At 37.1% G+C, this 22090-nt stretch overlaps 1 long non-coding RNA gene across 1 annotated transcript in view, besides 1 other annotated feature; it reads left to right on the forward strand.

Annotated features, from left to right (window-relative positions):
• The window catches only part of LOC124902063 (uncharacterized), a 41294-nt gene continuing 20592 nt past the window's right edge, over nucleotides 1389-22090 (forward strand). Inside the window, exon 1 of the long non-coding RNA XR_007061177.1 lies at nucleotides 1389-1659. This is a non-coding gene — a long non-coding RNA (uncharacterized LOC124902063). The remainder of the gene's footprint in view (nucleotides 1660-22090) is intronic.
• Nucleotides 1455-3156: an enhancer, noted in NCBI's record as "VISTA enhancer hs1239". NCBI's record gives its function as "enhancer in: neural tube[5/7]" and the evidence as "EXISTENCE:transgenic organism evidence [ECO:0001131][PMID:17130149]".

Below are 22090 nucleotides of genomic sequence, written 5' to 3' on the forward strand. Positions count from 1 at the left end.
GGTCTTTTGATAAAGAAAGAAATGACATGTCATTTCCCCTTTTAAAGGCTTACATAAATCCCACTTTGTTATTCTGTGGATTTTTCTTTTGTCTAACATACTTGTGGAAGCTTAGGCAGTAGCTGCACCTCACAGAGCGTCATGATTGCAGTCAAGTGTCTGATAGGTGCTTTCCTTTGTTCCAGTTACAAACTAAGTCTCTGCTGTGGTCCATGTCCTTGTATTAAAATCACTATCACTCAGTTAGTGGCAGCAGAACAAATATGTATGTCATCGGGAAGGAGGAAAAGAGAAAACACTGTAAAATGTAAAGCTGAAGAGGTAAAGTCATAGTGTGAAGTAGTTGAAATGTTGTAAGCAGAAAAGGAAAGTGAATAGATTTTATTTTTAGAAAGACAAGGTTAGTTTCAGGGTGGAGATTTCAGTGGTGGAGGCAGGGCCAAAGCTGGGATCTGGTTATGAAGGCCTTGAAGGCAAGAAGACATGGAGTTCCTGACTAGTGTTAGGGCAGGAGAAATGATGGAGATTAGTGGATGGATAAACGGAGAGACTAAGGAGTTAGATTAACAAGACTTGATAAGTGATGGGTATGGAGAGTAAAGAAAAGAGATGATTCAAAGGTAAGGTCCATGTTCCTGCATATGCAACAGATGGCAATTTACTGAAGTGGAAAACACAACAGGAGATGATGCATTCAGTTTGAGGTATGTGGAGCTCAAAACACTGATGGGACAGCCAAACTTATTAGTGGATCTGAGCTGGAGATAAAGATTTGGGAGTCAATATATGGCAATTAAAAATAATTGCAGGTATGGGCCGGGCGCGGTGGCTCACACCTGTAATCCCAGCACTTTGGGAGGCCGAGGTGGGCGGATCACGAGGTCAGGAGATCGAGACCATCCTGGCTAACACGGTGAAACCCCATCTCTACTAAAAATACACAAAAAAATTAGCCAGGCGTGGTAGCGGGCTCCTGTAATCCCAGCTACCAGGGAGGCTGAGGCAGGAGAATGGCGTGAACCCAGGAGGCAGAGTTTGCAGTGAGCAGAGATCATGCCACTGCACTCCAGCCTGGGTAACAGAGCGAGACTCCATCTCAAAAAAAAAAAAAATAATAATAATAATAATTGCAGGTAAGAAAAAGAATGAGGTTTTACATGGAGGAGGGCAAATTAAAGTGAGACAAAAAGAAGGCCTAGGATAAAATGCAAGGAACACCAACACTGAGGAGACAGGATCACAGGAACCAGAACCCAAGAAATGTGAATGTTTTGTGAAGAAGAAAGTGTTCAGTATCAAATGCTATTGAGAAGATAAAGACTGAATAGAATCAATTGGATTTTGTTTCAGGGGAAAATATGTTCCGTGGAGTAGAGGGGGTGGAAATCATCTTGCAAAGTGTGGGAGATAAGGAAGTGTAAATGCATTTTTCCATAATTTTGACAGTCTAATCAAAGGCAATGAGTTCTTTGTGCAGATTTTTCAACTCTGCCACATAGAAAGCTTCAGTTATGTATAGGTCATAGCACATTTAATTTTTAACATTGGTATGACTTATTCCTATAGCAGGAAGACTGCCTTGAAGAAACAGAATCTGCTATAAGAATACTATCAGGAAAGAATGGTCAAGTCAGGTGAAACCGCTGCTATTGTATGACTGTGAGTATTTGCCTTTGTCTCCATATGTGTTTTGGTTTGCAGCCATTAATAGCTTGGATACCATGAAGCAGTGGCAAAGGGGAGTGTGTCAGAGCAGCAGGCCAAAATTAAATTACAGCAACCTCGCACTTTGCATTAAAACCTTCACTCAGAGATGGAGGCTGGTAATCACGTCCAGATTTTCCTTAAAGACAATGGCCCTCCATGCAACTGGCCACACTCAGTTAATTCATGCTGTCAGCTGCCTTTATTGGCTGTGGGGAATCCAGTATTGATTCTTGAACTCAGCAGCAGCACAAAGAGCCACTAGTGCATGGTCAAAATGCTGCAATAAAGGGCTGGCAGCTTGAGAAAAGCAGCCATTCCATTGCACAAACAAGGTCAATTAGAGGACAGTGCAGTGTAATATAAATAGCATTAGCATCCCTCTTCAACTCCGATGATATCACGCTGGCAGAATGACAGTAAGGAAAATAAGGTTTAATGCTGAATAAATATAAAGGCATTTAGTGTAATTTAATTTCAAGCTCTCTATCATTTTAAAGTGCTACGAGTAGCAAAATATTTAGTTTCATCATGGGTAGGAATTTATGTCTACAAAAATGATTTTCTGATAAAACTTTGTGCAAACTAGCCAATTAGTCATGTATAGTTAAACTGGTATTATTAATTTTATTGAGAAGTAAAGAGTTTCTTATTCACAGAATCAATGTAGTATGCCTACCTGTCATTTACTATCCTTTTTAGTATTAGAATTTCAAAATCTCCAATGTGTCATGAAGAAGGAACAAAAGATATCTTGGTATTTTTAGTTTAAAAGATAGAGCAGATTGAGTTTTTTTCTTTCTTTTTAAGTCGCTGGAAATTACTAGGACCTTTTGTTTAAACACTTGCATTCATTACTTTTATTTATGGGAGAATTTTTCCTACCTTCTTTGTCAGTTCAAAATTAATTACAAATGTAAAACGCATCATGCTGCTAACACATATTCTATGCGGGAAACAAATTATACTCTCAAAATAGATAATGGACAGCTTGGAGAGGTAATTGATAAACCTACACTGCCTACAATAACTGAATAGATTTTAGAAAAATATATAATTGTTAGGAATGGAAAGAACGTGTTTGAATTCTCCTTGGTAATGAGTGTGCTCAATGTTGACTAGGAACAACTCATTAAAGTGCATAAAAGAGTTTAAAGAAAGTTTGAATCATGATGCCTTGGAAATGTCCATTAACCACTGAGAGTATATGGAGTCTCTCAGGCTGATGTTGTCCAGTCATTTGGTTAAATTATTTTTTAAAAGATAAATGTTTCAAGTAACCTAAGGTGTTTCCAGCAAACCTGCTATGTACATTATGAATTGAATATAAGAGTCTCAAGTTGCTTTCATGAACTTCCTTGAGTAGATGAGTTAATAGATCCTGTTTATATTCCATACCTCCTGCTCTGTCTGCTAAAAGATAACATTTATAACCCCCTCACAAAGATACTGTGAGAGCAAATACATAAATTTCTGCAGTTAGAGTGGAAGAATCACCTAATCTTCAAAACCATAGACTAATAGAATTTTACATATGGGAAACATCTTAAGAAGTAATCAAATCCCACTTCCTCCTGTTATTGGGGCCAGAAAAATTAAGCCACATGCACAAACATATATAGCTAGCCAATGCCCAAACTGGGATTCTCAAACATGCTTCAATTTTTAATTGTTCATTATTTTTTTCATTACAAAACCAATTTTAAAAAGAAACATGTACGGTTGTACAATCTGATAACTAAAGGATACTGTTCAATGGAAAAAATTCAAATAATAGATACTGAAAACCTTGGAAAATGAAAGTCATCCATTTTCCTACCTCTTAAAAAAATTTTATGTATGTTTCCAGATTTTTCATATAATACATATATGTAATACATATATGCGCATATGTTTTAGTGATAAATAAGTTTATATCTATCTATCTACCTATCTATCTATCTATCTATCTATCTGTATTAGTCAGCTCTTGCACTGTTATAAAGAAATACCTGAGACTAGTAATTTATTTAAAAAAAAGGTTTAATTTGCCCACAGTTCCACAGGCTGTACAGGAAGCATAGCAGCATCTGCTTCTGGGGAGGCCTCAGGGAGCTTTTGCTCATGGCAGAAGGCAGAGCGGGAGCAGGCATCTTACATGACAGGAGCAGGAGCAAGAGCAAGAGCAAGAGACAGAGCGAGGAGGGGCTACAGACATTTAAATGACCAGATCTCATGATAACGCACTCACTATTAGCACACAGGGGATGGAGCCAACCCATTCGCGAGAACTCCACTCCCATGATCCAGTCACCTCCTACTAGGCCCCACCTTCAACACTGGGGATTGCAATTCCACTACAGAATTGGGCGGGACACAGACCCAAACTATGTCATTATCTAATCTATTAATAAGTATCTATCTATCTATCAATCTTCCAATCTCTCTGTATACTAACTTGCTTTTTTCTTTTAACAAAACACCATAGATAACTTTCTTGCTAGTATTTATAATTCTAGTATACATCTTTTCTAATGGATGCATAATGTTCCATTTTATAGCTGCAGCCTCACTTAATTATTTAATACCCTTTTCTACAATATTTGGATTTCTTCAAATTACAATTACTGTATAGTATGTATTTTTGTATATATATTTTCATACTTGTTAAAATATTTCTATTGGATACATTTTTCAGAAAGGGAATTAGTGGTTAATTTATTTTTTAAACAAAGGTTTAATTTGGAGACTATTTTAGATATACAGAAAAGTTGCAAAGATAATACACCCTTCACCCAGTTTCTTCTAATATCAACATCTTATATTAGCAAGATAATATAATAAACTATGCATAGTTGCCAAACTAAGAAACCAGTATTGGTACATTACTATTAATGAAGCTCTGGATTTCAGTAGAATGTTTCTTCTATTAATGCATTTTGTTGCTGTTGTTCCAGAATCCAATCCAGGTTACTAAATTGTATTTAGTTGTCACAATTCCTTTGATTTTCTGGTCTGCAGCTAGTTTTCACTCCTTACTAATTTCCCATTACCTTGGCATTTCTAAAGCATAGTGGTCAGGTATTTTGTGAGATGGGTTAACTGATATTTGCAATTAAATTTAATTGTCATTGATAAATGATCCCTAAAATGTTTAAATAATATATACATCTAATACTAGTGAATGTTAGTGACTATTTTTTCTAATAGCCTTGACTTTAGAAGATAGTTTTCTCTTGCTAATCTTTGCCTATCTAGATGGTAATGGATAGAATTGCTTTATTAATTCAATTTACATTGGAAATATTTTCAGATTTATTATTTATTTGTCTTTCATTTTTGTGAATTGCTCACTCATGTTCTTTGTCCATTTTTTCTACTGACATTTGGATTTTTCTTATGAATTTGTTAATTTTTTCCCATATTAGAGATCTTAGGCATATGATCGCAAGTCTTAGCACGAATTTATTTCCAGTTCTAGCGTATTTTTTAAGTTTCTTTATGAAGATTTTTTGTATAGAGAAGTTGAAATCATTGTCTTTACAGTGTCTGAACATTTTGTCATGTTTAGAGAAAGTGCCTTTTTACTCCTAGATTGCAAAAATGTTCCTGCACTTATTGTTATATATTTTTGCCTCATATTTATATATCAATCTTTTATACATCTGAGGTTTAATTTGATATGAAGAGTGATTAGGATTCAGTTTAGTTGTTTTATTTTCCATAAAGAGTTAGCCAATTGTCCCAACTCACATTTGCTCTCTTGCCTTTTACTGGTTTGGAGAAATGGAACTGATAATAATTTAGAGAGTAGTAGTCATAATTTTTAATTTTAAAATACAACAGTGCCTCATCTGAAAAAAGAGTGTGAGAAGTTATATTTTACTGTATACCTACCTCCTACCTTTAAAATCCTTTACTATTTGTATTTTACTTAATCTTGCAACTGCACGTGACACTTGCTCACTCCTCCTCCCTGGAACGCTCTCCTCCTTTCTCCTTTGGACTTTCTGATACCTCTCAGCTTGTCTTCCTTCTCTCCTTGATCTGCCTCGTGCCCCACTTCCTCTCTGTGTCCTTGAATGTCGGTGTTCCCTGGGGATTGGGTTTTGTACCACTTATATCTTCTCACTTTGAGTGCTTCTCATTTACATTGTTGAAAATATATATGTTGTTATTTATTGCTTGCTGTTTCCCAGAAACTATTCTAAGTATATCAAACATATTTACTTACTTAATCATCATAGCAAATACACAAAATGGGCACTACCATTATCGCCTCCTTTTTATAGATGAGCAAATTGGCATACAAGGATTGAGGAACATGCCCAAGTTAACTTATGTTCTAAATAGGCTATGGAGGTGGAACTTGAGCTCAGCCAGTTTGACTCAAAATCTCATGCTTTTCATCAATATTCTGTAATTTCCCTGATGTTCTGTGGCAGCAAATCAGTTAAGACAATGACTCTGTATTCCTGTCATGTTTGTTGGCATTGCTCTTCACTCCAGCAGAGCACCCTGGATTCATTCTCTCCCTTACCTTCTATATACAATGAATAGCCCAGTACCGTGTTTTCTACTTCCAATATATTTTCAGCGTATCTTCTCTCCTCCAAACCTACAGCTTCTATCCTAAATTGGACCTTTATTACCCTCTTTTGGTGCTGCTCTAATGACTTCCTAACTATAGGAGCACATCTGTTTAAATGGATTACTAGAATCATCTACCCAGGTGACAACTTTAACTGTGATTCCTTTGCCTAAGCTTCCCAGCAGCTCTCTACCCACCATAATAGCATGCACTCTAAGCTCTTTCATAGGATATAGAAAGCAAGGTTCTCCATGCCCTGGGACCAGCTCTTTCTGCCTCCTGCTGATTGCTCCTCTCTTCCTCCCATCCCACCTCAGGCACTTGACTCTGCTCCACATTCTTGCTTGGTTAGTGTCACTCACTGTCTAGGACCCTTCTCATACACTGCTTCTTACAAGCAGTCACATCTCCAGATCCTCACTCCAGTGATGGCTGGATCTAGTGTTCCGTCTCTGTCCTAACACTCGATTTAACATTGTGTTGAAGTTATTGGCTTGTTTGTCTTTCACAGCTCCTTGGATGCAAGCTCTGTCCTGTCTTATTGGTCTTTATTGTCCTAGCACAGGGTGCTAGGAAATTTGTTAAATAAAAGAAATTTGTTAAATGTTGCTAACTTGAATTCTAGAGGCAATTTTACAATATTCTAACTGCAATCTCTGCCTTATGGTCACTTCAATGGGACATTTCTGAGCTCTTAAATGACTTTAAGCAGACCTGCAGTCACTGAAGAAGTAATTGTACACAAGTCAACTATAGAAATCATTACTTTCAAACAGCAAGTAAAGGAATGTTTCCTAGATGGATAGGTGCTATACTATTATAGTTTTTGGTATATGTAATTTAATGGCTGCTGAGGTAGACATTCCTTGACTTGCTATTACATCTGTTACATCTGTGTTTTGCATCTCCATTTCTATTAAAATATAACTGTAGCTGATTCATATCTCCCATATCCACAGTGTCAAGGGTGGTGTAGAAGTCATTATCTTTAATAAACCAGTGATGGGTCTTTCTGACACGGTATGTGATGGAATCAGGAATTTGGGGGATTGAGGTCGTGTAAATTTGAGTTTGGGGACCTTTACGGCAGCATGTGTGAAAAGAAAACGTCAGGATGATGGGAAATAGGTATTAACAGAAAAAAACAATTTATTTAGCATTTCCTATGTGCCAGGCACTGTATTATCTCATCTAAATTTTAGAAGAAGTTTTTGGGTCACTCTCATGCTCGTTTATGAGGATTCTAACTCTAAGTGCTGTATTTTGCAGAGAGAGCTGTACATTTGGGAGGCTGGTTGTCCAAGAGTTCAAAGAGGTACCAGATTAATGGCCACTAATTAATATTCTGTATTGTATTGGGGTGACTTTGTTTGTACTATAAACTTATTTATTCCCACACTTTATGACATTTTGGGGGGACTTGATGAATTGTAAGTTTGTCACTCTATCTCTCCCCTGGGCCATAGAAGGACTCAGGTTATGCATTTTCATAATTTGTGGTGGAGATAATTTCCTCCTGCAAACGTTTTGCATGGAGACTATTAAAGGGCCTCACTGCTCTGAGCACTGTCCATGTCACAAGGTGAGGCCCCAAGAGATGCAGCACAGTAAATGTTCCTGAAAAATTCATCTTCTTAATTTATAGATACGACTTTTGCCTTGAAATCCTGCCTCCTGATAAGCAGGGGCAGCACAAAAAGGAATTCAAACATTAACTATACTTTTACTGGAGTCAATTCTAACCATTTGTCCCAGCTGCTGCTTTTCTGGGATGTAGTATATTTCTTGAGCTCAGTGCCATAGAAAAGCCTCCCCCTCCCTTTAACCCAATGGTCTCAGGAAATGCAGAAGCATCAGGAATTGAAGCTTCTTCAAGCTTTTGGAGTTAACACCTCTTAAAAACCAAAACATCTCAAGGGCCCTTCTGGCTACCTTGACATTTTTTCACACCTAGGAATATTTTATTTTGCAGAAAGCTCAGGTGGAGAAAGAGAATGTTCTAGGAGTTACATGGATGTCTGTGACCTTCTCTGCCAGTATTTATTCCTCTTTTGGATCTTTTCCTTGCAGTTATGTTTGACATTTGTTTTACCTTCCTCAGCCTACATCTAGAACTCCAATGTGCTGATTCTTAGTACCTTTGCGTTCTTTCCTGAGGAAGCTGAGGCAAATCAGGTAGGTGAAGGGCCCTTCCTACTTGCTAGAGAAATGCAAAGACTTGCTCTTGTAACATAAAACAGGCTGCAGATCGGGTCTTCCTGCCCTTCAAGACTTTCCCACACTGGGTTCCAGGAATTTGAACTGAGTTGTGTAGAATGGGTAAAGCTGGCCCATTATGGAGCATAGAGAGAAAATTCAGTGGTATTCTAGATGTGAGTGGGGACAGGGGGAGAAGAACGATGTGAAGCTGTGGGTCCTTGAGAGCAAGGAGAAGCCAGGCAAAAGGATAGCGATGCTGAACTGACAAGCTGGAGCTGGGGGCTTCTGGAGCACTCCCTGGAGAGGTTCCTGAGGTCATAGGAGGCAAGAGGAGGCATCCCATGAGAGGAATTGGGGCAGGTAGGAGCAGTGAAAGGAATTTTTGATTGCTTTGGACCGTGAGTATTGGGGTGTGTTACTCTCTTTTTCCTTTCAAAATGGTCTCACCACTCTCCCCATGAGACTGGTCCAAGACTATACTACACAGGGGTTGTGTGAAGAGTAGTTTTAGCAAAGTAAAGTTTGTGGAGAGCCCATATTTTAAAATTTTCTTGCTTATTCTTATCCTGAAAACTTAATTTCGTTAAATGTGCACAATATTAAAAAGTTTTCCTTTAAAATAAATTTCTTCTGAAAGGATGATGATGATGATTGTGTGTGTGTGTGTGTAAAATATTTCTATGATTTCTTTTTGTTTTCTTTTTCTTGGTCTTGGTCATTTCAAAAGTTGTCATTAGCTTTATATTCTATCGTACTTCTATCTTAAGGCACTTAAATTAAAGTATCTTTTATTAAGCTATAAAAGTCATTTTAATTATGCATACTTCTCTTAATTATACCTGTATAAGTAGACACATGTTTACATCTTAACAAACTAAAACAAAACAAAAACCTTTAGCCATTTTCTCAAAAGCAATCAAATCTAACAAATGAATGGGAATTCATGTTGGTTTTTTCTGAAGAAGTGTTTGGAATTTGGAATTTGCTTGAAAATGGAAATGAAATGCCATGTTTCTATAAGCATTTCCTTTCAGTGTATTTTGCTTAAATATCAATGGTAAACGTGTTTGTGTAAATATAACTATCACAAACCTCATCACATAGTAACTCTCAGAATCTTGGTGTTCATTAAATAGATTTCTGTATCTTTCCTGTACCTATTTAAATATGATCTCATTTCCTTCAGCTGCAGATACTGGCAAGGAAGGAAGGAAAGAAAGAAGGAAAGAAGGAAGGAAGGAAGGAAGGAAGGAAGGAAGGGAAATAAGAAAAGTCTGTTGATTTTTTCTATCGAATGACCAAGAGGAAAATTTACTAAAAACTATATTATTTGACAAAGCCAAATAAAATATGTAGACAAATCTCTAAATTTAACGTCTTATTTAGGATACAATAATTGTAATTTGGGGCATACATGCAGACTGATTGGTACATCCAAAGAACAAAGAGAAGGTTGGAGGTTTTATAAAAAGGAGAAATGTTACGTACTGTTTTTCAAGAAAGTTCATTATCACTAGCAAAGTTTTGGGGAGCTAGAAAGCTCTGACTGGTAAATGAGAATGGTAGGTAAAACTAGTCTTAGAATTGTAGCACGTTGTTTCAGAAGCCATGAAATAAAACTAGTTTCAAGTTATAGCAGGCAGTTTCAGCAGCCAGGCTGGCAGAGAATTACATTCTTGGAGCAATGTTATTTGCCTGACTGCTTTCAATCCCTGGCTTTTCCACTCTGTTTTACTTGGGTATGATTAGAATGACCCACTTTGTATGATCAATTTTCACATCCTGTATAGGAAAAATAAAATTTGTTTATATCAAAACTCTAGTAAGCATCCTTAAGATAAGACATTCTCTGGTTCTCTGTAATATTCTATTTACTTAGACAATACTAATAAATTAAAACAGAAACGCCTTAATTGTAGTTCAATTGTTTTTCATTGTAGAAATGCTGGCCAGAGGGGATCTCAAACACAGAAAACTAAACACATTCAGTTCAACATGTATTGAGGTTTTACCATCATGTATCAGTCATTGTCAAACACTAGAGATACAAAGGAGACAGGGTCCCTGTCTTTGAAAAATTCATATTAACTAGTGAATGCAGAGGGGAAAAAAACCCTCAAAAACAATGTAATTTCTATAACTGAAGCTTCCAACAAGTTTCATGAGAAACAAATGATTGATATATTTTGGAGGAGGGATGTACTTTGAATAATAAGTTGAATTTTCCAGGTAAAGAGGAAAAGTGCATTTCATCTCAAGACAGGAAAATGTGCTTGAGGAGCAAGTGTAACTGTCATAGAATGTCATATAAATGATAGTGTAATATATGTAGTCTTTTTTATCTGTTTTTTTCACTTAGAATAATGCTTTTGATGTTCATTCATATAATTGCATGTATCCATAATTCATTTTGTTATAGCTAGAGAGTATTCCCTTGTATGGATATACAGTATGACAATTATATATTCCTTCATTAGTTGATGGACATTTGGCAAGTGTTTGTGGACATATGTTTTTATTTTTATTCTTTAAATGCTTAGCAGTGGAATTTCTAGATTGAATGATAAGTGTAGGTTTAATTTTATAATAATTACCAAATAGATTTCTAAAATGGCTGCAGCATTTCTCATTCCTACTGGCAACGTATGAGAGTTCCTGTTGTTCTGCATCCCTTCCAACACTTGATATCGTCAGTATATTAAATTTTTAGCTATTGCAGTAGGAATGCAGTGGTATCTCATTGTGGTATTAACTTACAATTCTCTAATTCATAAGGTTCAACATTTTTGACATGTGCCTATTTGCTATTCATATATCTTCTTTGTTGAAATATTTGTTAACTATTAAGCCCATTTTAAACAATTGGTTGTCTTCATAAATATTCACTATATATTTTCAAATATTTTATATGTTCTGGTTATAAGTTCTTCATGAGATATATGGTTTTCAAACATTTTCTCCCATTCTGTGGCTGCCTTTTAATTTATTTTACATTTATTTTGAGGAACATTTTTAATTTTGATAAAATTTAATTCATCAGTATTTAACAGCATTTTGATTTTTTACAGTTTGTGTCGCAAAGTCACAAAGAGTGCCTCTATGTTTGCTTTCAGACATTTTACAGTTTGCCTCTTATAATTTGTTTTATAATCTATTTTGAGAAAATTTATGGATTTGATGTTGAGCAAGAGTTGAGGTTTTTTTTCCACATGTATAATCTAACTTCTCTAGCACAATTTATGTAGATGATTATTTTATACCCATTGGATTACCTGAATTATCTTGGCACACTGTAGAAAATCGATTGATTTTGTGGGTGTCTAATTCTGGTTTCTATTTCATTGATTCAATGTTTATTCTTTTGCCAACTCCACACTGCTTTAAAACAGTAGCTTTATTCTAAATCCTGAAATCAGGTAGTATAAATCATCCAACTTTGTTTTGCTTTAGAATCCTTCTTGATATTCTACTTCTCTTGCAATTCCATAAATTTTAAAATTAATTTATAAATTTTATTCCAAACGTCTGCTGGGATTTTGGTTAAGGTTTTGTTGTATCTCAATATGAATTTGGGGGTTTTGACAATATTGAGTCTTCTAATCTATGCATATACCATTTCTCCCCATTGAGCTAGCTCTTTAATTTTTTGAAGCAATCATATGTAGTTTTCAGTACAACTCTTGAGTATCTGTTGTTAAATTTGCCCCAAGTATTTCATGTCTTTAAATGCTGTTTTGAATGGTATTTTAATTTTGATTTCCAGTTGTCTGATACCAGCCCATGCAAATAGAGATGATTTTTGTAATAGTGATCCTTTATCCATCCACCTTTTCAATTAATTCATGCTACTAGCTTTTTCGAGGGTTACTTAGGATTTTTCTAGATAGAGGACTATGTCGTATGAAAATAAAAACAGTCCAATCTCTATGTCTTTTATTTATTTTATTTATTTATCTTGCCTTGTCATACTTTTTAGGGCCTCCAGTATAATGGTTAAGGAAGAAACCACAAGATTGGGCACGGTGGCTCATGCCTGTAATCCCAGAACTTTGGGAGGCCAAGACAGGTGGATCACCTGAGGTCAGGAGTTCAAGAGCAGCCTGACCAACATGGTGATACACCGTCTCTACTAAAAATACAAAAATTAGCTGGGTGTGGTGGCAGAAGCCTGTAATCTCAGCTAATTGGGAGGCTGAGGCACAAGTATCGTTTGAACCCAGGAGGCGGAGGATGCAGTGAGCCAAGATTGTGCCATTGCGCTCCAGCCTGGGTGACAGAGAGAGACTCTGTCTCAAAAAAAAAAAAAAAAGAAGAAGAAACCACAAGAGAAATTAGAAAATATTTTCACCTGGTTTAAAATCAGTGGTGGTGAGAGATATTCTTGCCTTGATCTTAGTCTTAGTGGGAAAGCCTTAAATTTTTCACCATTAAATTTGTTGTTGGTAGTAGGATTTTTGTAAATATTCTTTGTCAGCTTGAGGAAATTCCTTTCTATTCCTGGTTTGCTGAGAATTTCTACCATGAGCGGGTATCAAATTTTGTTAAATGCTTTTTATGCACTAATTGAGAGGATTGTATGATTTGTTTTATTTTGTTTTAATATATTCATATAGTGAATTACATTAATTTTTAGATGTGAAACCAACTTTGCATTAATTGGATAAACCAAAAAAGATCATGATATTTTATACTTTATATATTTATTTAACTAGGTGGAATTTTTAAATTTTTTGTTGACAATATTTGCATATATATTATGAGTACAGGAGCCTATAGTTGTTTCTTATTTAAAAGTCTTTTGTCTGGTTTTGCCCTCAGTAAAATCAGCATAGAAGGGACTTACCTTAATGTAGTAAAAGCCACCTATGACAAACCCAACATAATACTGAATGGGGAAAAATTGAAAGCACTCCCCCTGAGAACTAGAACAAGACAAGGATGTCCACTTTCACCAGTTCTATTCAACATAGTACTGGAAGTTCTAGCCAGAGCAATCAGACAAGATAAAGAAATAAAGGACATCCAAACCAGTAAAGAGAAGTCTAACTGTAGCTGTTTGCTGATATGATTGTATACCTAGAAACCCTAAAGACTCCTCCAAAAAGTTCCTAGAACTGATAAATGCAGCAAAGTTTCAAGATAGAAAATCAATGTGCATAAATTAGCAGCTCTGCTATACATCAACAGCAACCAAGCTGATAATCAAATAAAGAACTCAAACTCTTTTATAATAGGTGAAAAAAATAAAATATTTAGGAATATACCTAACCAAGGAGGTGAAAGACCTCTACAAGGAAAACTGCAATCTATTACTGCTGAATGAAATCATAGATGACACAAACAAACTGAAACACATCCTATGCTCATTGATGGGTAGAATAAATATTGTGAAAATGACCATACTGCCAAAAGCAATCTACAAATTTAATGCAGTTCCCATCAAAATACCACCATCATTCATCACAGAACTAAAAAAAAAAAATCCTAAGATTCATATGGAACCAAAAAGGAGCCCACATAGTGAAAGCAAGACCATGCAAAAAGAAAAAATCTAGAGGCATCACATTACCTGACTTCAAACTATACTATAAGACCATAATCACCAAGACAGCATGGTACTCGTATAAAAATAGGCACATAGACCGATGGAACAGAATAGAGAACCCACAAATAAAGGCAAATACTTACAGCCAACTAATCTTCCACAAAGCAAACAAAAACATAAAGTAGGAAAATTACACTCTATTCAACAAATGGTGCTGGGATAATTGGCAAGTCACATGTAGAGGAAGGAAACTGGATACTCATCTCTCACGTTATACAAAAATCAACTCAAGATGAATCCAGGACTTAAATCTGAGACCTGAACCATAAACATACTAGAAGATAACATCAGAAAAACACTTCTAGACACTGACTTACGCAAAGACTTCATGACCAATAACCCGAAAGCAAATGCAACAAAGACAAATATAAAAATAAATGAGACTTAGTTAAACTAAAAAGCTTCTGCACAACAAAAGAAACAATCAGCAGAGAAAACAGATAACCCACAGAGTGGGAGAAAATCTTCACATTTTGTGCATCTGACAAAGGACTAACATCCGGAATCTACAAGGAACTCAAACAAATTAGCAAGAAGAAACGATACAGTTCCATCAAAAAGTGGGCTAAGGACATGAATACACAATTCTCAAAAGAAGATATACAAATGGCCAACAAACATATGAAAAAATGCTCAACATTACTAATCATCAGGGAAATGCAAATCAAAACCACAGTATGATACAACCTTGCTCTTGCAAGAATGGCCATAATCAAAAAATTAAAAAAAATAGATGTTGATGGGGATGTGGTGAAAAAGGAAAACTTTTACACTGCTGGTGGGAATGTAAACTAGTAAAACTGCCATGAAAAACAGTATGGAGATTCCTTAAGGAAATACAAATAGAACTACCATTTGATCCAGGAATCCTACTACTGGGTATATACCCAGAAGAAAAGAGTTGTTATACGAAAAAGATACTTGCACATGCATGTTTATAGCAGCAATTGCAAAAATATGGAACCAGCTGAAATGCCCTTCAATCAATGAGTGGATAATGAAATTGTGAGATATATATATATCTTGTATGTATATATATATATATATATATACACACCATGGAATACTACTTAGCCATAAAAAGGATCAAAATAATGGCATTAGCAGTGACATGGATGGAATTGGAGACCATTATTCTAAGTGAAGTAACTCAGGAATGGAAAACCAAACATTGTATGTTCTCACTCATAAGTGGGATCTAATATATGAGGATGCAAAGGCATAGGAATGATAAAATGGACTTTGAGGACTTAGGGGGAAAGGGTGGGAGGGGATGAAGGATAAAAGATTACAAATTAGGTACAGTGTATACTGCTAGGGTGATGGGTGCACCAAAATCTCAGAAATCACCTCTAAAGAACTTATGTATGCAAATATCACCTGTTCCCCCAAAATGTATAGAAATAAAAAAAAATTAAATCACCACTAGACTAATTGTTGCCTACAAAAAAATCTTTTGTCTGGTTTTGTATCATTTTATAATATGTCTCCTTTATATATTTATTTAGCTGAATGGAAGTTTAAAAATTTTTGTTAAAGGTATTTGCATATATGTTATGAATGTAAGAATCTATAGTTGTTTCTTTTTTAAAAGTCTTTTGTCTGGTTTTGTATAATGTTAGAATATGGCTCCTTTTCTATTTTTTAGAGGTATTGGTTTAGAATTGATATTATTCCATCCCTGAATATTTAGTAGACTTCAGTACTGAAGTCTTCTGAGTGTGACATTTTCACTGTAGAAAAGATTTTAGCTGCAAATTCGATGTCTTTAAAAGATAGAAGGCTATACTAATTATGTATTACTGCTCAAGTCAGCTTCTTTAACTTATTTCTATAAAAAATTGTCCACTTCATTCAAGTGGCCAAATTTATTGCTATATAGTTATTTTTAATATTTCCTTATTATCTGTTTAATATATGATTAATCTGTGATATTATTGCCTCCTTCATATGGTTTGGCTCTGTGTCCCCACCCAAATCTCATCTTGAATTGTACTCCTATAAATCCCATGTGTTGTGGGAGGGACCTGGTGGGAGATAATTTGAATCATGGGGGTGGTTTCCTACACACTATTCTCGTGGTAGTGAACAAGCCTCACGAGATTTGATGATTTTATCAGGGGTTTCCACTTTTGCATCTCCCTCATTTCTCTTGCCACTGCCATGTAACTAGTGCCTTTCACATCCCGTCATGATTTTAAGGCCTCCCCAGCCATGTAGAACTGTAAGTCCAATTAAACCTCTTTTTCTTCCCAGCCTTAGGATGTCTTTATCAGCGTGTGAAAATGAACTAATACAGTAAATTGATACCAGAAGTGGGGTACTGCTGAACAGATACCCGAAAATGTGGAAGCAACTCTGGAACTAGGTAACAAGCAGGTGTTGGAACAGTTTGGAGGGCTCAGAAGAAGATAGGAAAATGTGGGAAGGTTTGGAACTTCCCAGAGAGATTTGTTGAATAGCTTTGCCCAAAATTCTGATAGTAATATGGACAATAAAGTACAGGCCTGGGTGGTTTCAGATGTAAATGAAAAACTTGTTGTGTACTGGAATAAAGGTGGCTCTTGTTATGTTTTAGCAAAGAGACTGGCGGCATTTTGCCCCTGCCCTAGAGATTTGTGGAATTTTGAACTTGAGAGAGATGATTTAGGGTAACTGGCAGAAGAAATTTCTAAGCAGCAAAGCATTCAAGAGATGATTTGGGTGCTATTAAAGGCATTCAGTTTTATAAGGATAGCAGAGCATAAAAGTTTGGAAAATTTGCAACCAGACAATGCAATAGAAAAGAAAATCACATTTACTGAAGAGAAATTCAAGCTGGCTGTAGAAATTTGCATAAGTAATGAGGAGCCGAATGTTAATCCTCACAACACTGGCAAAAATGTCTCCAGAGCATGACAGAGACCTTTACAGCAGCTCCTCCCATCACAGGCCCAGAGGCCTAGGAGAATAAAGTGGTTTTGTGAGCTGGGCCCAGAGTCCCTTGCTGCATGCAGCCTAGGGACTTGGTGCCCTGTGTTGCAGCCACTCCAGCTGTGGTTGAAAAGGGGCAATGTAGAGCTCGGACCATGGCTTCAGAGGGTGCAAGTCTCAAGCCTTGGCAGCTTCCATGTGGTGTTGCACCTAACAATTCACAGAAGTCAGGAATTGGGGTTTGGGAACCTCCACCTAGATTTTAGAAGATGTATGGAAATGCCTGGATGCCCAGGCAGAAGTTTTCTGCAGTGACAGGGCTCTCATGGAGAACCTCTGCTAGGGCAGTGCAGAAGGGAAATGTGAGGTTGGAGTCCCCACACAGAGTCCCAAATGGGGCACTGCCTAGTGGAGCTGTGAGAAGAGGGCCACTGTCCTCCAACATTCAGAATGAAAGATCCACCTGCAGCTTGCACTGTGTGCCTGGAAAAGCCACTGACACTCAACGCCAGGCCAGGAAAGCAACCAGGAGGGGGGCTGTGCCCTGAAAAGCCACAGGGACAGAGCTGCCCAAGACCACAGGAACCCACCTCTTGCATTAGTGTGACCCGGATGTGAGACCTGGAGTCAAAGGAGATCATTTTGGAGATTTAAAATTTGACTACATCACTGGATTTTGGACTTGCATGGGGCCTGTAACCCCTTTGTTTTGGCCCATTTCTCCCATTTGGAATGGCTGTATTTACTCAATACCTGTACCCCCACTGTATCTAGCAAGTAACTAGGTTTCTTTTGATTTTACGGGCTCATAGGCAAAAGGGACTTGCCTTGTCTCAGATGAGACTTTGGACTATGGACTTTTGGGTTAATGCTGAAAGAAGTTAAAACTTTGGGGGACTGTTGGGAAGGCATGATTGGTTTTGAAATATGAGTACATGAGATTTGGAGGGGCCAGTGGTGGAATGATATGGTTTGGCTCTCTGTCCCCACCCAAATCTCAACTTGAATTATACTCCCATAATTCCCACATGCTGTGGGAGGGACCTAGTAGGAGACAATTTGAATCATGGGGGGTTCCCCCCTCCTATTCTCATAGTGGTGAATAAGTCTCATGAGATCTGATGGTTTTATCAGGGGTTTCCACTTTTGTATCTCCCTTATTTTCTCTTGCCACCATGTAAGAAGTGTCTTTCACCTCCTGCCATGATTCTGAGGCCTCCCCGGACATGTGGAACTGTAAGTCCAATTAAACCTTTTTCTTCCCTATCTTCGGTATGTCTTTATCAGCAGTGTGAAAAAGAACTTATGCACTCCTTAATTCCTGAAATTGCCAATTTTTTTCTTGATAGTTTCACTAGAGTTGTATCAGTGTTGTTCATCTTTTCAATAAGCCGTCTTCTGATTTTTCTCTTTTTCTTTGTTGCATTTATTCTATTGCATGGATTTATGTTCTTGTCTTTATTATTTCACTCCCTCTGCTTACTTAGGGTTTAATTTATTCTTGTTTCACTAGCTCTTTTAAGGTACAACCTCAAATCATTAATACAAAGCCTTTTTTTCTTTTCTAATACAACTATTCAGTTACATCTACCAGGTTTTGATATGTGATATTATGATTTTAACCTAGTTCAATTTTTTTTTATTTCTCTTGTGATTTCTTCTGTAATGCATAGGTTATTTGGAGCCTGTTGTATAATTTCAAATATTTAAGAAATTTTCATATATTTTGCTGTTACTCATTTCTAGGTTAATTCTGTTACATTTAGAGAACATCCTTTGTATGAGTGTAACCCCCTTACATTTATTGAATCTCGTTTTATGGCCCAGAATATTTTATGTGCATTTGAAAGGTGTGGGTTTTCTATTGTTGGGTAGAGTGCTCTATAAATATCATTAGACAACATTGTTTGATGAGGTTTTCAAGTGTCTAGATTTTTTTCTGATCTTCACAATTCTAGCAATTGCTGGGCATTTTCTGTGGAAATCTCCAAGGATAGTTTGGATTTGTCTATTTTATTTTTCAATTCTACCAGTTTTTGCTTCTTACATTTTGATGCTTATTATTAGATACAAATGTCACAGGATCCTTAGGGTGTCATTTTCCCAGCTGGAAACCTCTGTGGCCGGTGGCACCTTTGCCCAAGTTTTGCTTGGGCACACTGGGCTTGTTCTGCCCACTCAGCCTGGCAGACTGTGTTTGGCTCATGCTACTGGCCTGTATCCCACAACTGCCAAGTGCAAGCCAGGTGTGGAGTGGTGAGGGGTGTATGAGTGAGTGAGCACGAGATCTGACCACTGAGAAACCCAGTCATGCCAGCTGTGGAGAAGGCAGCTCCAGGTGCTAGCACAGGCACCGGCTCCCTGCGAGGCTGTGGCTGGACAAGGCATACTGCAAGCAGCTTCCAGGGTTGGCACTGGGAATGCAGTGGCACCCAGAAACCTGGAGAAGCCAGAAACCACAGAGCCTCAAAGAGGGTGTCACAGCTCTGGCTCAGTGACCTCCTAAATCTGTGCTCCCTGAAGGGCTACAGCTCTTCTGTCCTTCTTGTCACCTGCAACATGGCAAGCAGGAGGCATGTTTCAGACCTGTTTGTGTTACAGCTCTTTCAGCCCCACCATTAGGTGGGTTCTTGTGTTCTTGTCTCATGTCCAGGAAGAATGAGGTACACAGACAAGTGAAGGGTGAGCAAGGTGAAGAGGTGATTTATTGAGCAACAGAACAGCTCAGAGGAGACCCACAGTGGGAAGCTCCTCTCTGCAGGAAGGTTATCCCATTGTCTGCCTGAGTCTGGCTGAGTTGGGGGGTGTTACTGGTTTCAGAGGGGAGGAAGTGCATGCTGATTGTTCCATGGACAGCCATGGGCGGGCTGGAAAAAGCACCATAAGTTATCACTCTGGTCTGGGCAACTGGCAGCCCATCCCACTGGCCTCAGGCTGTTCCTGGCCTGAAGGTGGGGTTTCACTGGGGATCTGCCCCTTTCCACCCAGAGTGTATTTGCCTCCTGCTGCCATTAAGCTGCTATCCGTGGTGCCCATGGCACCCAGGCTGCTGATGCCGAAGGGTGTCTGCAGGTCCGTGGTGAGCCACCCTTAGCCCCTCTTCAGCCTCTGTCTCATGCTTGTGGGTATGCAGGGGACTAAGGCAGCAGGGAGCTGGCATGTCAGCACTGCCCCAATCACTCACACAGCAGGCCAGGTAGTGACAGTGCCCAGGCTCAGCCACAGCTTCGCTCTGAAATTGGAGCAGGTGCCAGGAGTGGGAGAGGCCAGGCAGTGGGAGCATGCATTTCCAAGCCTGTGGGGGAAGAGGGACTTCCCAGGCCTGGGAGAGTGCAGAAATTCCAGGTCCGGAGCTGTGGGTGGGCATGTGCAGCTGTGCCCAGAACAGTGGGGCTCCCGCCCCTCCAACTTGGAAGTGGGTGGGACTTCTGCCTGTTCCCAGCTCCCACCGTCTCCCTGGAGCACACAGCCCCAACAGCTCCTCCCCCACTACAGCCAGCATCATGCAAACGGCCACTCCAGATGGACTGCTGCTGCCATCATGAACACATTTAGTATTATTGTAAATGTCTTCTTGATGAAACAACTCTTTTATCATTATAAAATGTTCTCTTTAAATGTGATACTAATCCTTGTTCTAAAATCTATTTTTTTCTGATACAGACATAGCTATTCTAGCTTTTTTTAAATTTATGCTTAACGTATAGCTTTTAAAAATAGTTTTATTATTAACTTATTTAGGTCATTGTATTTAAAAGTATCTCATATAGGCAGGGTAGAGTTGAGTTTTGCTTTTTTATCCAGTCTGACAATCTCTTCCTTTTAATTTGAATGTTTAGACCAGTGGTTCTCAAACTTTCTGGTCATACGATCCCTTTACACTCAACATGATTTTATTTATGTGAGTTAGATATTTATTGATAGATATTTATTTGTTGATACTCTATTAGAAATTTAAAAAACATGAAAAAGTTTATTGTTACATTTAAAAATAAGAAAAACAGCATTATATTTTAACACATATACATTTATGAAAAATAATAACTTATTTTTGAAAAGACTGAAAAAAATGTAGCTTTTTTTAATATTTTTGCAAATCTAGCTTTCTATTTCTTCTAATGTCAATTTTGTAATATTTGATTGCTGACTTTTTTTAACCTTTCAAATTTTCTACCTATTTATAGTATTTCTTATAATTGAACATTTCTTTTGTGTCCTCTAGGTCCCATTTTTTTTTTAATGCTGCCTGTTATATTCTCTCTTCATTTATTTTTGGATCAAGCCAGCAAAAATTTATATTTTCTTTTCTGAGTTAATTTATTGATTAAAAATTAGATTATTGAGTTTCATAATTGAGTACTTTATTTTTGCTCTTTCTTGATGTCAAGAATCTAAAACCTTAATTTCATCCAGATTTAATCAGTTATGGCAGGTAGAATGCTTTTGTTACTCTTATGCAGTATTTTAGATGAACTATACATTGTATTAAAGACATGATCCCTTCCCCACATATATTGTATTACATTTCCAAAATATTTAGCCAATCATGAATTAACTAATTAGAAGGAAAGTGGCTACATAGAGAAAAAGCAGATGCATCAAGTCCCAACCAATTTTCTTGGACACTAGACTTCCTAATACAGCCATATGACTATTACTGCCACCTTTCACAAGATGATTGCTAGATCTGAGAAGCTTCACTCTTTTCAATATGTTATTATGAACATGTTCAGTCATACACAAAAAAGATTAGTAAAATGAACTATGTATACTCATCACCTAGAGTCAAGAGTCTGGATAAAGATTTTAACAAGCTTGTTTTGTTTCTTTCTTTTTAATTTCCTTAATTCTTTCTATTTTATTTTATTTTATTTTTGCTGAATTTTTAAAAGCAAATAATATATATCATTTCATTTAACTCCCACATACTTCAGGGATATCTCTAAAGATTTTTTTATACAACCACAATGACATGTTCTCACTTAACAAAATCAACAATAATCTTTTGTTTTACCCAATACCTGGTACAAGTCAAATTCTTCAATTGTCTCAAGAAATTCCTTTTTATAATTAACATATTTTAATTAGGATCTCCAAGT

This window comes from Homo sapiens, chromosome 8, assembly GCF_000001405.40.
Source record: "Homo sapiens chromosome 8, GRCh38.p14 Primary Assembly".
NCBI classification, from domain to species: Eukaryota; Metazoa; Chordata; class Mammalia; order Primates; family Hominidae; genus Homo; species Homo sapiens.